The sequence below is a fragment of the Homo sapiens genome, chromosome 10 (assembly GCF_000001405.40).
Source record: "Homo sapiens chromosome 10, GRCh38.p14 Primary Assembly".
NCBI classification, from domain to species: domain Eukaryota; kingdom Metazoa; phylum Chordata; class Mammalia; order Primates; family Hominidae; genus Homo; species Homo sapiens.
In genome coordinates, this window is record NC_000010.11 from 14,771,220 (window position 1) to 14,784,844 (window position 13,625).

General features: G+C 43.4%; 1 protein-coding gene across 2 annotated transcripts in view; it reads right to left on the minus strand.

The window, feature by feature from the left end:
• The window catches only part of FAM107B (family with sequence similarity 107 member B), a 256,341-nt gene extending 252,663 nt beyond the window's left edge, over positions 1 to 3,678 (minus strand). For both annotated transcript variants that reach the window (NM_031453.4, NM_001282695.2), the window contains exon 1: positions 3,034 to 3,678. In NM_031453.4, the coding sequence (NP_113641.2) occupies positions 3,034 to 3,444 (411 nt within the window). In that variant the 5' untranslated portion in view covers positions 3,445 to 3,678. The remainder of the gene's footprint in view (positions 1 to 3,033) is intronic.
• Between the last annotated feature and the right edge of the window lie 9,947 nt (positions 3,679 to 13,625).

A 13,625-nucleotide genomic window follows, 5' to 3' on the forward strand; every position in this document is an offset into this window, starting at 1 on the left:
CAGCGGCAAAGCTTTGTCACTCACAGGATGCAAAATGGACATCTTCTGTGGTGTTATATACCATGAAGCTATGGTAGAAAAGGGTAAAGCATATGAATAAAAACAAATAATAATAGTTATTGAATATCATTAAGAGGAGTTGGTTACTGGATACAAAAGTACAGTTAGAAGGAACAAATTCGAGTATTCGATAGTACGGTGGAGAAGTTATAGTTAACAATAATTTATTGTGTATTTCAAAATAGCTAGAAGACAGGAATTGTAATGTTCTCAACACAGGGAAAAGGTAAGTGTTTGAGGTGGTAGATATCCCAGTTACCCTGATTTAATTACACATTTATACATGTATACATACCCCAAAAAATATACAACTGTGATATATCAATTAAAATAACAACAAATAAAAATAAATTAAAAAACAAATAATAATTATATCGACATCAACATATAAATACATGGAATTAATTTATTCATTTTTGTAGAGATGAACCTTCGTTATGTTGCCCAGGCTGGTCTCAAACTTCTGGTCTCAAGTGATTCTCCCTCCTTGGCTTTCCAAAGCTCTGGGTGACAGGCATGAGCCACTATGCCCAGCCAATATGTATGATATTTAAATGTGATTGAGTATCAAGCGAGATCACATATGAATAGTTGATCCTAAATCCTCAAACACTACACAATTAATTAGTAGTAGAAGCACATTATAATTCAGAGGATGGACTTTGGAGTCAAACAGAAGTGGGTTCCAGTCCTGTCTCTGCCACATCCTCTCTTTGTGGCCTTGGGCAAATGTCTTACCCTCTTTAAGCATCCATGCCCTCCTCTGTAACATGGGCACCATAAGAATATGCACTGGCCGGGCATGGTGGCTCACTCCTGTAATCCCAGCACTTTGGGAGGCTGGGCGGGGGAGTCATGAGGACAGGAGATCGAGACCATCCTGGCTAACACGGTGAAATCCCATCTCTACTGAAAATACAAAAACTTAGCTGGGCCTGGTGGCAGGCACCTGTAGTCCCAGCCACTCGTGGGGCTGAGGCAGGAGAATTGCTTGAACCTGGGAGGCAGAGGCTGCAGTGAGCCAAGATCGTGCCACTGCACTCCAGCCTGGGAGACAGAGCAAGACTCCATCTTAAAAAAAAAATATATATATATATATATGCACCTCACTGTCACCAGGGTTGGCTGAGATACTCTGTGTAAAGCACTTAGAATAAGGGCTAGCGAACTACAAGTGCTCTGCACAGCTTAGCTCTCGGTGTTTGAACTAGAATAGATGCCCATTTACCCACATCAGGCCCTCTTCCTGCACCTCCTGGCACTTGATTTCAGTGTTTGCATTGCATCACTGCTTCCCTCCCTGCCTGGTTTGGACCGCACAGTCAACTGCCGCGTGTCCTGCCTCATGGAGCCCCTCCCACTTTATCTCCCTGTTGTTCCTGTCTGGATTGTTACAATGTCCTCTCTGCTCCGGGCTTCCCAACTGTAATCCATCCTACGCTGTGGACCACCCATGGCTTTGCTCCTGCCAAGTGGACACTAAACATGGATGTGGCCCCATTTTGTGTTATTGGTTCTATTTGAATTCACATGCTTGCCTTGAGTCCCTGAGTCCCATGTGCAACTAAAACAGAAAGATAAAATCAAAGTAACCCTTTGTTCTTGCGGCTGTCTTCAGTAATATAAGGTGGGTCTGCATTGCTCAACAGAAAGTCTTCCGGTTCATTAAAACTGTACATCATTGGTACCATAAATATCCAACAAATATCAACTTGGCCATGAATTCTAATCAGCTACCTATAATACTACCAAAAATATCTTAATCTGGATGTGGCTATACACTGAAAATTTTGGTTTTTGCTGGTTGGTTATGGGCTTTGGTTTAGTGGTGCTAGAAAAAAACATAGCAGTTTTTGCTGTGACAGAGGATATGGTAAAACTCTCTGTCCAATTTCAGAATGCAGACGACAGACCCAAGCTTCAGTCATTTCATATAAACCTGCAGGGTGTCAAATGAAACTATTTTTTAAATGATGTTTTAACCCTATCTTTGCTGGTTGGCTGTGTTCTTGCTAAGGAGGCTTCTTAGATTCTGTGAAGCAAGCCAGACCAAAAAATAATTTGTTAAACGGATGTGGAAAAATGATTTAAAAAATCAGAATACTTTAGTGATGGATCCCCAAAGACTTCTCAGTTTTTTAAGTCTGGTCCTAAGCTACTTGGCTAGGAAATGACCAAAAATGGTCAAGAGATATCTTTGGAGTGTACCTTTTAGAAAACCTTTCCTCTACACTGCATCTGCAAACTGGGATTACCGGGAACTTTGAAATAATTGTACAGCTCCATCTAATCAGAATACTCAACAATTAAAATTCACTGATGCCAAAAATGGAAAGAAAATAAGTAAATAACTCTTAAGAGCAGTGGCACCATTTTTTTTAAATAACTTCCTCCTCCTGCCTTCAACTCTCAGAAGATTATCACAAAAACATCCATATTATGAATAGTTTTATAGGTCAGTTCCCTTCCGTACCACTAGGCATACACTGATGATCATTTCCAAATTTTTCCAGACTGCTTTGATATCATGTGATTCATTTTAAGTAGAGGCAGTTTTGTGAATTCCCTAGCCAAACTTTTTAGATTGTGGATTTTCATATAAATAAATTGACAGACCGGTGGGGGTGGAGGGGGAAATAGAAAAAGGAAAAAAATGTTTTTGTAAACTATCTTACTCCTAATCTGTTATTGAGTGAGCCATTTTTGGCTCTAAGGCACCCTAGCCCGTTAATTCAAGGTTACCTTCGGTCATTGCCATGGCTCCAGTGCTTATTATCATTGCCTCATCCACATCTTTTGAGAACACTCTGAGAATCTACACGGCTTTAACACACTTCTTCGCACTAGTGAGAACGCCCGCAATGCCTTATTCAGTAAGGTTAAATGAGTTTGTTTGCTGAAACATTCGCCACATGATCCCAACGCTCCTCCAGCTCCATCCCGTCTATAATCGCAGAGCGAACACTCACTCACCTTGGGCGTGTCAATAATTGATGGTCTGGGGATGGAAGCGTGAAACACCACTGCTTCACAGTCCGCCCCATCATCCAGGGACCCGGGCACATCTTCAGGCGTCTCCGCGGGCTGGGCCGCAGTGCGGTGACTTGAATTCCGATTCGCACTGCCATTTCTCTCTGCATGGGTGCTCGAATCTTGCCTTTTCTCTGGAGCTCCTTCTGCGCTTGGGTGTCTTGGCTGTCTGCCTGCTTTGGCCACAGGCTGCACACGGACGGTGGAATGAGTATCAGCCACGCCGGACTGATTGAAGGAAGCACTCTCCCTCGTATTCCCAAAACAGGCGAGCAGAGCTGAGCACGGAAATGGATGCATGCTTCTAGAGGGAGACTTCAGTCTTTTGGTGAGTCTTGCTTTCCACGTGGACATGACTTGCAGTGAATCATTGCAAAGTTCAAACGGGGCAAGGAAATTTTCCAGGGGTCCACATCACCTCCACTTTGCTTATAGGAACTCTTTCCAATTGCCCGAAGAGAAGAACTTGCTAGTGGTTGCCCCTAAATAGAAGTTGGGATGGCAAGGCCACCTTCCCTGAGAGTCACTTAGCCGCTGGGGCCCCTTTGAAAGTGTCCATCCTGGGCAATTTCGCGCTCTTCCTTCTGTGATGCTGTCAGTGGCTAAAGAAAGCTGTTGGGGAGGCATGTGAGTGGCTCCGGTTACAGTTCCTAGGCAGGGCAGACGCTTCAGGGTAGGGTAGTGCCAAGTCAATAGACAATTGCTTCAGGTTACCTAGGAGGCATAAAGATAATGTAGCCTGATAGCATCTGCCATAATAGCGTCAGCCTGCGTATCAATAACATCATAACAGCAGCAAAACCTTCTTTGGTTACCCCCCTTCAAATATTTATTCCCCCAAACAAAACAAAAACGACCCAGTTGTCCATCACAAATGAAGACCCCTAGAAGGGCCACGACCCTAGCAGCTGTTTCATTATTAAAATAGGAGGTAGACTCAATCTTTCGCCTGGAGAGATGCGGTGTGATGTGTTTTCTGAATCTTTCTGGACTTTTCGGGATCTTTCCGGAATCTTCCCGGAATCTTCCCCCCACCCTCAAAACAAGTTTCCTGGTTTCAGGATCCACATTGCCTTTTCTGATAACTATAAATAGGTCTTTGGTAATTTGATTTTTTTTTTTTTACTAGCTAGGCTAAGTTCTTGATTAGTTTTCAACAATACCAAAAAGAAAAAAGAGAGCCCTACATTAACAATTATCCTTATGTATTATGTTATTATGTGTGGAGGTATTATGTACATGTGAAGTATTCTACCTATATGGTATATATCACCTACTTTCAGAAAGTAACTCCTTTTTGAACATAGATCTTCTGTTTCTCAACACATTAATATGTGAATGGTGAAAAATAATAAATTATAAACATATTCTAAGACAATTCAGAATCAAGATTTTTCCTTAGCCAACTGTCTGCTAGGAATGTTATAGAAATGTAATACTGTAATGCTTTTACCGTTAATAGTGATTTTAGGGTCAAGATTTCTGGGCATGTTACCCACTCTTAATTAATTTGTTTGCTCTCTCTTTTAATTTAATGTCAAGATGTGCTCTTTGGCCCAGACAGGTGGTAGTTATTATATTATGGCACTGATTCCCGTTTTACAGAGGCAGAAACCAATTCTTTGAAATTTCATGTGACTAAGGCAAGTTTATGCCACTAAGAAGGGCTTGTTGGGTGCCCGAGATCCCTGTTCTCCTATCTGTCCTCTGAGTCTCATTCTATCTAACAATCATTTTATAGATGTAATGGCCATACGGGAAATATTGTTCTAAATGGACAGTCATATTCATAATACAAAAAGGCAGATATGGCTTTAGAATGAGTGGATATGGCATCAAATGCACATTTTATTTTAGTCTCTACTGAAAGTTAGAATATAGAAAGCTTCCATTTATTTAGAGGTTACCGTGTGGCAGGCCCCGTGCTATCCAAGCTGTTTCTGGCTTCCCAGGGTTGTGAGCTCATTCTTTTTTCATTGTGTCCCAAGTGCAAGCTGTCCAAATTCCCCACCCATAAGAAATCAGGGGGTTCAGGTTTCTACCAGGGTCCCCCCTCCCAGATATTCCTGGAGACCCCTCGGAACTGCACTTTGTCTCCCATTTGACTTGGTTGCTACAGTCCACTCGGGTCGGGTCGTGCCATGCTGTGCCCCTCCAAGCACACGTATAGTAAATCGGGGCTGTGATGCTGCATAAGACATTTTTGAAGGCTTGGAGGTAACAGGAAGGGATTTAAGAAAAGAAAAATGCACTCTTACACCTGGTTTCATTCACTCATTCATATATTCATTCAATTATGTGTCAAGCCCCTTTTGGAACAGAGAGTCAGCAGTTCACAGTGCAGCTTGCGAGCGGCCACATTCAGGAGACCGCTGAGGAAGAAAGCTCAGAGCCACTTTCTAGGTCTGCGGAGGCCCTGGGCTTGCATCCGGGCTCTGAGGACCACCTCTCCTCGCTCAGTGGGTGTGCTCAGAGGCACGCATGAACTCATCGGAGTTCCAGCACTGGCCCGCTAAGAACAGTAGACTTTCTGATTAGTGTGTTGCTAAGTCTGACCTAGAATAACACTCAGTAACAGGCCATGGTTATTGAGTGTTTGGTATCAGACATGAATCTCAGCAAATTAACTCATTTAATCCTCACAACCCTAGAAGAAAGGTGATATTATTATTCCCATTTTTACTCATTAGAAAACCAAGACACAGAAACTTAAGTAACTTGCCCAAGGTCACAGCACTGCTTAAGGAAATGAGAAAAGGTGATGAGTCCAGCAACCTGGCCCCAGAGCTCATACTTTTCTCAGTATGCAATCCTGCTTTCCAAAAACACACATGCACGTGCACACACACAGATACATACTCCAGAGAGGACATTTCCAATGACCTTGATCCAACACTCTACCTCTAAGAAGTTATTTTGTAATGACGATCTTTAAAAAGTCAGGAAACAACAGATGCTGGAGAGGATGTGGAGAAATAGGAACACTTTTACACTGTTGGTGGGAGTGTAAATTAGTTCAACCATTGTGAAAGACAGTGTAGAGATTCCTCAAGGATCTAGAACTAGAAATACCATTTGACCCAGCCATCCCATTACTGGGTATATACCCAAAGGATTATAAATCATGCTACTATAAAGGCACATGCACACGTATGTTTATTGTGGCACTATTCACAATAGCAAAGACTTGGAACCAACCCATATGTCCACCAACAATAGACTGGATAAAGAAAATGTGGCACATATATACCATGGAATACTATGCAGCCATAAAAAAGGATGAGTTCATGTCCTTTACATGGACATGGGTAAAGCTGGAAACCATCATTCTCAGCAAAATATCACAAGGACAGAAAACCAAACACCGTATGCTCTCACTCATAAGTGGGAGTTGAACAATGAGAACACATGGACACAGGGAGGGGAACATCACATAGCAGGGCCTGTCAGGGGGTGGGGGCTGAGGGAGGGATAGCATCAGGAGAAATACCTAACGTAAATGACGAGCTGATGGGTGCAGCAAACCAACACGGCACATGTATACCTATGTAACAAACCTGCACGTTGTGCACATGTACCCTAGAACTTAAGGTATAATAATTTTTTTAAAAAAGAATTTATTCTGTAGATATACTTGTGCATAAATGTATGTCCCAGAATGTTCGCAGCACCAGAGTTTGTAATCACAAAATTAATTGTTAATCAATAGAAGACAAGTTCATATATAAGAAAACATCTGGCTGGGCGTGATGGCTCATGCCTGTAATCCCAACACTTTGGGAGGCCTAGGTGGGAGGGCCCTTTGAGGCCAGGAGAGTTCAAGGCCCGTCTGGGCAACATAGTGAGCCACCGTGTCTACAAAAAAAAAGTTTTAAAAATCAGTTGGGCATGGTGGTGAGTGTCTTAAGTCCCAGCTACTTGAGAGGCTGAAGTGGGAGGATCGCTTGAGCCCAGGAGGTGGAGGTTGCAGTGAACCGAGATTGCCCCACTGCACTCCAGAGCCTGGGTGGCAGCCCCTCGCAAGCTGCACTGTGAACAGCTGATTCTCTCCAGAAGGGGCTTGGCACATAATTGAATGAATAAATGAATGAGTGAATGAAATCAGGTGTAAGAATGGATTTTTCTTTTCTTAAATCCCTTCCTGTGACCTCCAAGCCTTCAAAAATGTCTTGTGCACCATCATATTTTAAGACTCTGTCTTAAAAATAAAAAATTTAAAAAACGCAAAGAGATCACAAAGCATCACAAGACATATGAGAAGAACTGTTACCGGAAAGGAGTGGGGTACTGATCCAGACCCCAAGGGAGGGTTCTTGGATCTTGCACAAGAGTTCGGGGCAAGTCCACAGAGAAAAGTGAAAGCAAGTTTATTAAGAAAGTCGAGGACTGAAAGAACGGCTGCTCCACAGGCAGAGCAGGGCACTCCTGAAAGCAAGAGGAGGAAACACCTTAGGTGCAATGCTTGTTCATATTATATATAAGCCCAAAATCATGAGGGAGATGTACTCTGCTACAGGGGCTTATGACAAACAGTTGTTAACCTTGGTGTAACTACTGTCTTCTGCAAGAATCTGTATTATTATTTTTAAAGAAAAACTTACTCTTAAACCAAGAATGTTTTTGTTCTTAAGATATCGGGACATCAGGACATTTCCTGGATCTGTTATTTCCCGGGTCTGTTAAGTCCTGAATCTCTTCAGTGAACTTTATTAACTTGTTCCCTTAACTGTAAATATCCTGTTGACTAAGAATGCCTCACCTCCTGGGAATCCAGCCCAGCAGGTGTCAGCCTCATTTTACCCAGTCGCTTTCGAACCAAAGTGACTCCATCTTGAATAGGGGCTGAGTAAAATGAGGCTGAGACCTGCTGGGCTGCATTCCCACTGCATCTTGAACAGTACTGCCTATGACAGAACTGCAATATAAATGACAACACCCAAGGTAAACAAAAGAAAAGATCCTAGCCAGGAAGAAAGAGGGAATGGCAGTTGGACAGGCAACAGGGTCTGTCACTCAGAGGATGGTGCAGGTGTACCGTAAGTCACAATGCAGATTGATTCTGAGCAAAGATCCTGGGGGAGTGTAAGAGGGAAAGAATCTTAGCAGCTTGATACCAGCAACATTCTTGTTGAGTGTCACATGACACGGATCCTAGAGAATTTTAAAACATTAACTCACTCTGCCCTAAAAAACTGTTTACATAGTCGTAATCATATAAATGCCGTCCAATTTTCTCAACTTTCAGAAGGAATATACAGGCCAACAGTTGCATATGATGGCTCTCAAAAACAATTTGGCCTCCAGACAGATTTTGTTTGGCTCATGACATTTTTTAAAAATGACTGCACAGCTCTTAGGCCACAGGAACCATTCTTCTCTGTATCTCTCATTAGGTCAGTTCCCAAATTTCTGCAAACAGGACCCCGACGACATTTGAGTTTAATGCCTCAGGTGGGTAATTTCTTATTGTAGGGTACCCAGCATTCTCTCCCTTTTCTTTTGGTAACAGCATCCTGATTTCCTCTTTGGAAACCCCTTCAGTGCTTTAGGTGAGGCTTTAGGCCTGGTTCCAGGGGAGGAACCTGAGATCAGGGTCAGGTAATCAGCCTGCCCTTATTCCCTGTTCAGGGACTGGAGTGAGAACACATGGTTCCAATCAGAATAAATCCCCAAACGGGCTGGACACAGTGGCTTACGCCTGTAATCCCAGCAGTTTGGGAGGCCAAAGCTGGCAGATCACGAGGTCAGGAGTTTGAGACCAGTCTGACCAACATGGTGAAACCCCATCTCTACTAAAAATACAAAAATTAGCTGGGCATGGTGGCGCATGCCTGTAATCCCAGCTACTCAAGAGGCTGAGGTGGGAGAATCATTTGAACCCTGGAGGCAGAGGTTGCAGTGAGCCAAGACCCGCCATTGCACTCCAGCCTGGATGACAGAGTGAGACTCCGTTAAAAAAAAAAATCCCCAAACAGGACTACTTGGAAGAAACTTTCTCTTCTTCCCATTGGATTTACTGGACTTAAACCTGAGAAAGGGAAGGGAAAAGCAGCTGCCAATATCTTGACTCCTTGGGGGACACTCACCCAGGCTGCAGCCAACACAAAGAAGAATGTAAGAGCTGGAGAAAGAGAACCTGGGTCCTGATAACATTTTTGAATGAATCTTTACCTGAGGCTGAAGCTATCCCTACATATTGCTGCTTGTGTTGTAAAGCAAATAAATTTATTTTCCTGCTTCACCGGCTTCAAGTTGAGTTTTCTGTCACTTTCTACTAAATGAGTCCTAATCAATATATCACTCAGGTGTACCAGCAAATCATGGAAACCTTCACCATGGTTGCAGAAGAGAATGAAAATTTTATCAACTTGACAGTGGCAAAATAAAGGGAAAGCTGAAAGATTTTGAACGATAGGAAGGTTGTTATGGAGGGGGTGATATGAGCAAAGGGAAGGTTGAGTTTGCTAATATTCTTATATTTCAAAGTCAAACGATGCTTCCTATGGTTGATACAAAAAGCAATCAAGTTTTAAGTGTGGTGTTTGATGTTGCAGAAGTGACAAGGGGAAAACTGGAAATAAAGATGGAACAGTGTTGGGAGGAGATGGGGTGTAGTAAGTAGCTAAACGCTCATCTATCTTATTAGAAAATCAATAGATAATGTCTAAAGTTGACAGATAAATAGAGGCATAAGCATATTAGTTAGTGGGAGAGATATCCATCTATCATAGAAAAATGTCAATAAATAATATTTTAAGTCAATGAATTAAGAAACAGAAATATAAACATATGATTTATATTACGGTGCTATCTATCAAAAAAAAAACTAAAGACAAACAGTTATAAGCAGTTGCCTTTAAGGAAGAAGAATGGAAATGAGGCAGAAGATGATTCCTTCTATTATAAACTCTTACGTATGTTTTATATTTAAATCATATAGAAGTATTACTTAATAGAATTTTTTTAATTTAAAAGGAATAAAGTCAACTTACATGGGGCAATATGAAAAATTGCCAGGAAATACTTTGAATGACAAAAGCAAATTGAAAAGTTAAGCACATGTGGATATCTAAAAATATACCCATATAAATATATACATGTATGTGCTTACTTTTATGTAGAAAAGCTTCAGAGGAATGTCCAAGAAGTCTTCTGCCTCCGGAGAGGGGACACTAAAGGTCTGATTTGGGAGGAAGATGCTTTTCATGGTATACCCTGTTGTACTGTTTGAATTTTGTTAACCATGTGCAAATACTAACTTTTCTATTAGAAAAAAATAGCATGGAAACATCCCAAGGTGACAAGGCACCAACATGCTCAGTTCTAGGTGAGGTCTCAGATGAAAATCAAGCATGTGGCACCAATGATCTCTCCAAAGGGGAGACCAGCAGAGCGGATCTCAGCCATTCAGTGCCTCCATCAGGATGCCTTAAGAAGATTTGTCATTTTCCATAGAGAGCGCATAGAGAAAGCACTATCACTGGGGCCCATGTCTTCAAACATCATTGATTGAGAACTCACTGCAGAGCAGGTTCTGAGTCAGGTGCTACTTGGAGTGAAATAAGCCAGGATCCTGCTCTCTTGGAGCCCAAAGGGCAGTAGAGCACATGAGTGAGTGTGGTGAGTGCAGTGAGGAAACCCGCTGGCTCCTGGAAATAAGATAATGACCCAAGTCAGGAAGCCCGGCTGATCTTGCATCCCCTTGTTTCCTGAGTCTCACTTTCTCTGTGGGGATCCCGCTAATCGCTTCTGCCACAGTGGCCTCGGGAGGCACTGCCCTCTGCCTTAAAAATCCAGCCCAAGAAAAGGGACACAACTGCCCCTTCTGCACAATTCAGCGGATAATCATCTTTGGTGCATGACCAGACTTTGCTGATTACAAAAGGCAATTATGCCTCTCTAAAAAAAAGTTTTCTTTTTGACTGTTTGCTGGGTAACATCATTGTCGGTGCCCCAAAGCCCCCAGGTTATTTGTCGCAGGGTCTTCCGGGGCTTCCGGTCTGCCGAGTTCCTGTTCAGCATCTGGGTAGCATGGACTGTCTTACCCCTGTCAAGCCCATCTAGATAGGCCGGGCGCGGTGGCTCACGCCTGTAATCCCAGCACTTTGGGAGGCCGAGGCGGGCGGATCACAAGGTCAGGAGATAGAGACCATCCTGGCTAACACAGTGAAAACCCGTCTCTACCAAAAATACAAAAAAAAAAAAAAAAAAAAAAAAATTAGCCGGGCATGGTGGCATATGCCTGTAGTCCCAGCTACTCGGGAGGCTGAGGCAGGAGAATCACTTGAACCTGGGAGGCGGAGCTTGCAGTGAGCCGAGATCGTGCTATTGGACTCCAGCCTGGGCGACAGAGTGAGACTCCGTCTCAAAAAAAAAAAAAAAAAAAGGCTCATCTAGATTCCTTAGAATCTAGGCTTAAGCGATAAGGCCCTGGGTTCCCTCGCTCTCCTAAGAGCCACCTTGCTAGTCATTTCCTGCCCCAAGATGATTAATGCTGAGAACATCCTCTGCCCTAAGGGAAGACCGACCTTTGCTCCCAGGCCTTAGCCTTGGTACCAGCAGGACAGCACGCACAACGGAGTTCAGGAGTCCCACATCAGTCCCTGAAAGTAACAGGAAGCATCATTTCTTTCTCAGTGTGGAGGAAGGAAGGTCACCTAACCAAGACAGGAGGGGCAGAGGAAGGGGCAGGAAACAGATCTGGGGTATAAGACCCAGAAACACAGCAGTGGTTGTAGATAAGGCCAGGATCAGTGCCATTGTCTGATTTCACATCCTCTCCCTTCCCCTATATTTACACTCATGCACTGCGTAACAATGTTTCAGTGAACAAGGGCCCGCATACATGGCAGTGGTCCCATAAGATAATAATACTGTATTTTAGGTTTCGATACACAAATACTTACTTGTGTTAAAACTGCCTGTAGTATTCAGTATAGTCACATGCTGTCCAGGTTTGTAGCCTAGGAGCAATGGGCTATACCCTATACCCCAGGTGTGCTGTGGACTCTACCATCCATGCGATATTTGTACAGTGAAATTGCCTAATTTTACGTCTTTCAGAATGTATCCCTGTCGTTAACCAGCACATGACTATATTTTTAAATCAAAGTGAACTTAAAATGGGGATTCACTTCCATTTTTTTGGTAAGGATTTTTTTTTTTTTTTTTTTTGAGATGGAGTCTGGCTCTGTCACCCAGGCTGGAGTGCAGTGGCACAATCTCGGCTCACTGCAACCTCTGCCTCCTGGGTTCAAGCGATCCCCTGCCTCAGCCTCCCATGTAGGTGGAATTACAGGCACCCGCCACCATGCCTGGCTAATTTTTGCATTTTTAGTAGAGACAGGGTTTTGCCATGTTGACCAGGCTGGTCTCGAACTCCTGACCTCAGGTGATCTACCCACCTCAGCCTCCCAAAGTGCTGGGATTACAGGCATGAGCCACCACACCCAGCCTTTGGTAAGAATTTCTCCAACATTTCTGAGGTCAGTGAAAATGCCCTAATTGTGTTGCAAAACTAGATTTGACTGTCATCGGGTTTGCCTGGAAGCAAGACTGCCCTGCCTTCACAATCTGGAATTCTCTTTACTCCTCTTTTTAATCCTCACACTGAATTCCCAGCTGATTACAAAATTATCTTCCTTCAGGAAAAAGAAATCAAAAGCTTTTCTGCTTTCTACCCAAAAGTACCGCTGAAATGTAAAGGGCTGGTGAATCAGGTAGCCTAAGAAAAATACACCTTTCCTGTCTGATGCTCAGCAATGCCCCAAGCTTCAGGACTCTACTGACATCATTATCACTTCTTTTTTTTTTTTTTTTTTTTTTTTTTTGAGGCAGAATCTTGCTTTTTTGCCCAGGCTGGAGTACAGTAGCACACTTTTGGCTCACTGCAACCTCCGCCTTCCAGGCTCAAGCAATTCTCCTGCCTCAGCCTCCTGAGTAGCTGGGATTACAGGTGCCCACCATCACGCCCAGCTAATTTTTGTATTTTTATTAGAGATGGGGTTTCACCATGTTGGCCAAGCTGGTTTTGAACTCCTGTCCTCAAATGATCTGCCTGCCTCAGCCTCCCAAAGTGCTGGGATTACAGGTGTGAGCCACCATGCCCGGCCATAGACATCATTATCACTTCTACTAATACTTCAGAGGAAATACTGATCAGGTTCCTATTTAGCTTCCTTCAATGGACCCTTGTCCTTTGGGTGGATTCAGAGACCCCCAGATATGCCCACTCCCCATCTCCTGTCACTATTCTTCTTGGCCCACAGCCTGCATTCGGGGGGGTGTTCAGCCTCCTGGGGTGGCCGGAAGAACAGGCAGCCAAAGTCGAGGCCATCCCTGGAGAGTTAATAAAGCCAGATAGAATTCTATCCTTGGGAAGGTGGCTAGGCCATGTCATTGCACAATCAGTACGATGTCTTATCTGCAAATAGTGTCCAGCTGTCTACAAATTTTTGCCCCAGTTGTTTCAGAGTGAAAAAGCATCTGCCTTAAGCCACATGCCCTGTATCCTTTCCCAATAGCTGCCCCTTGGC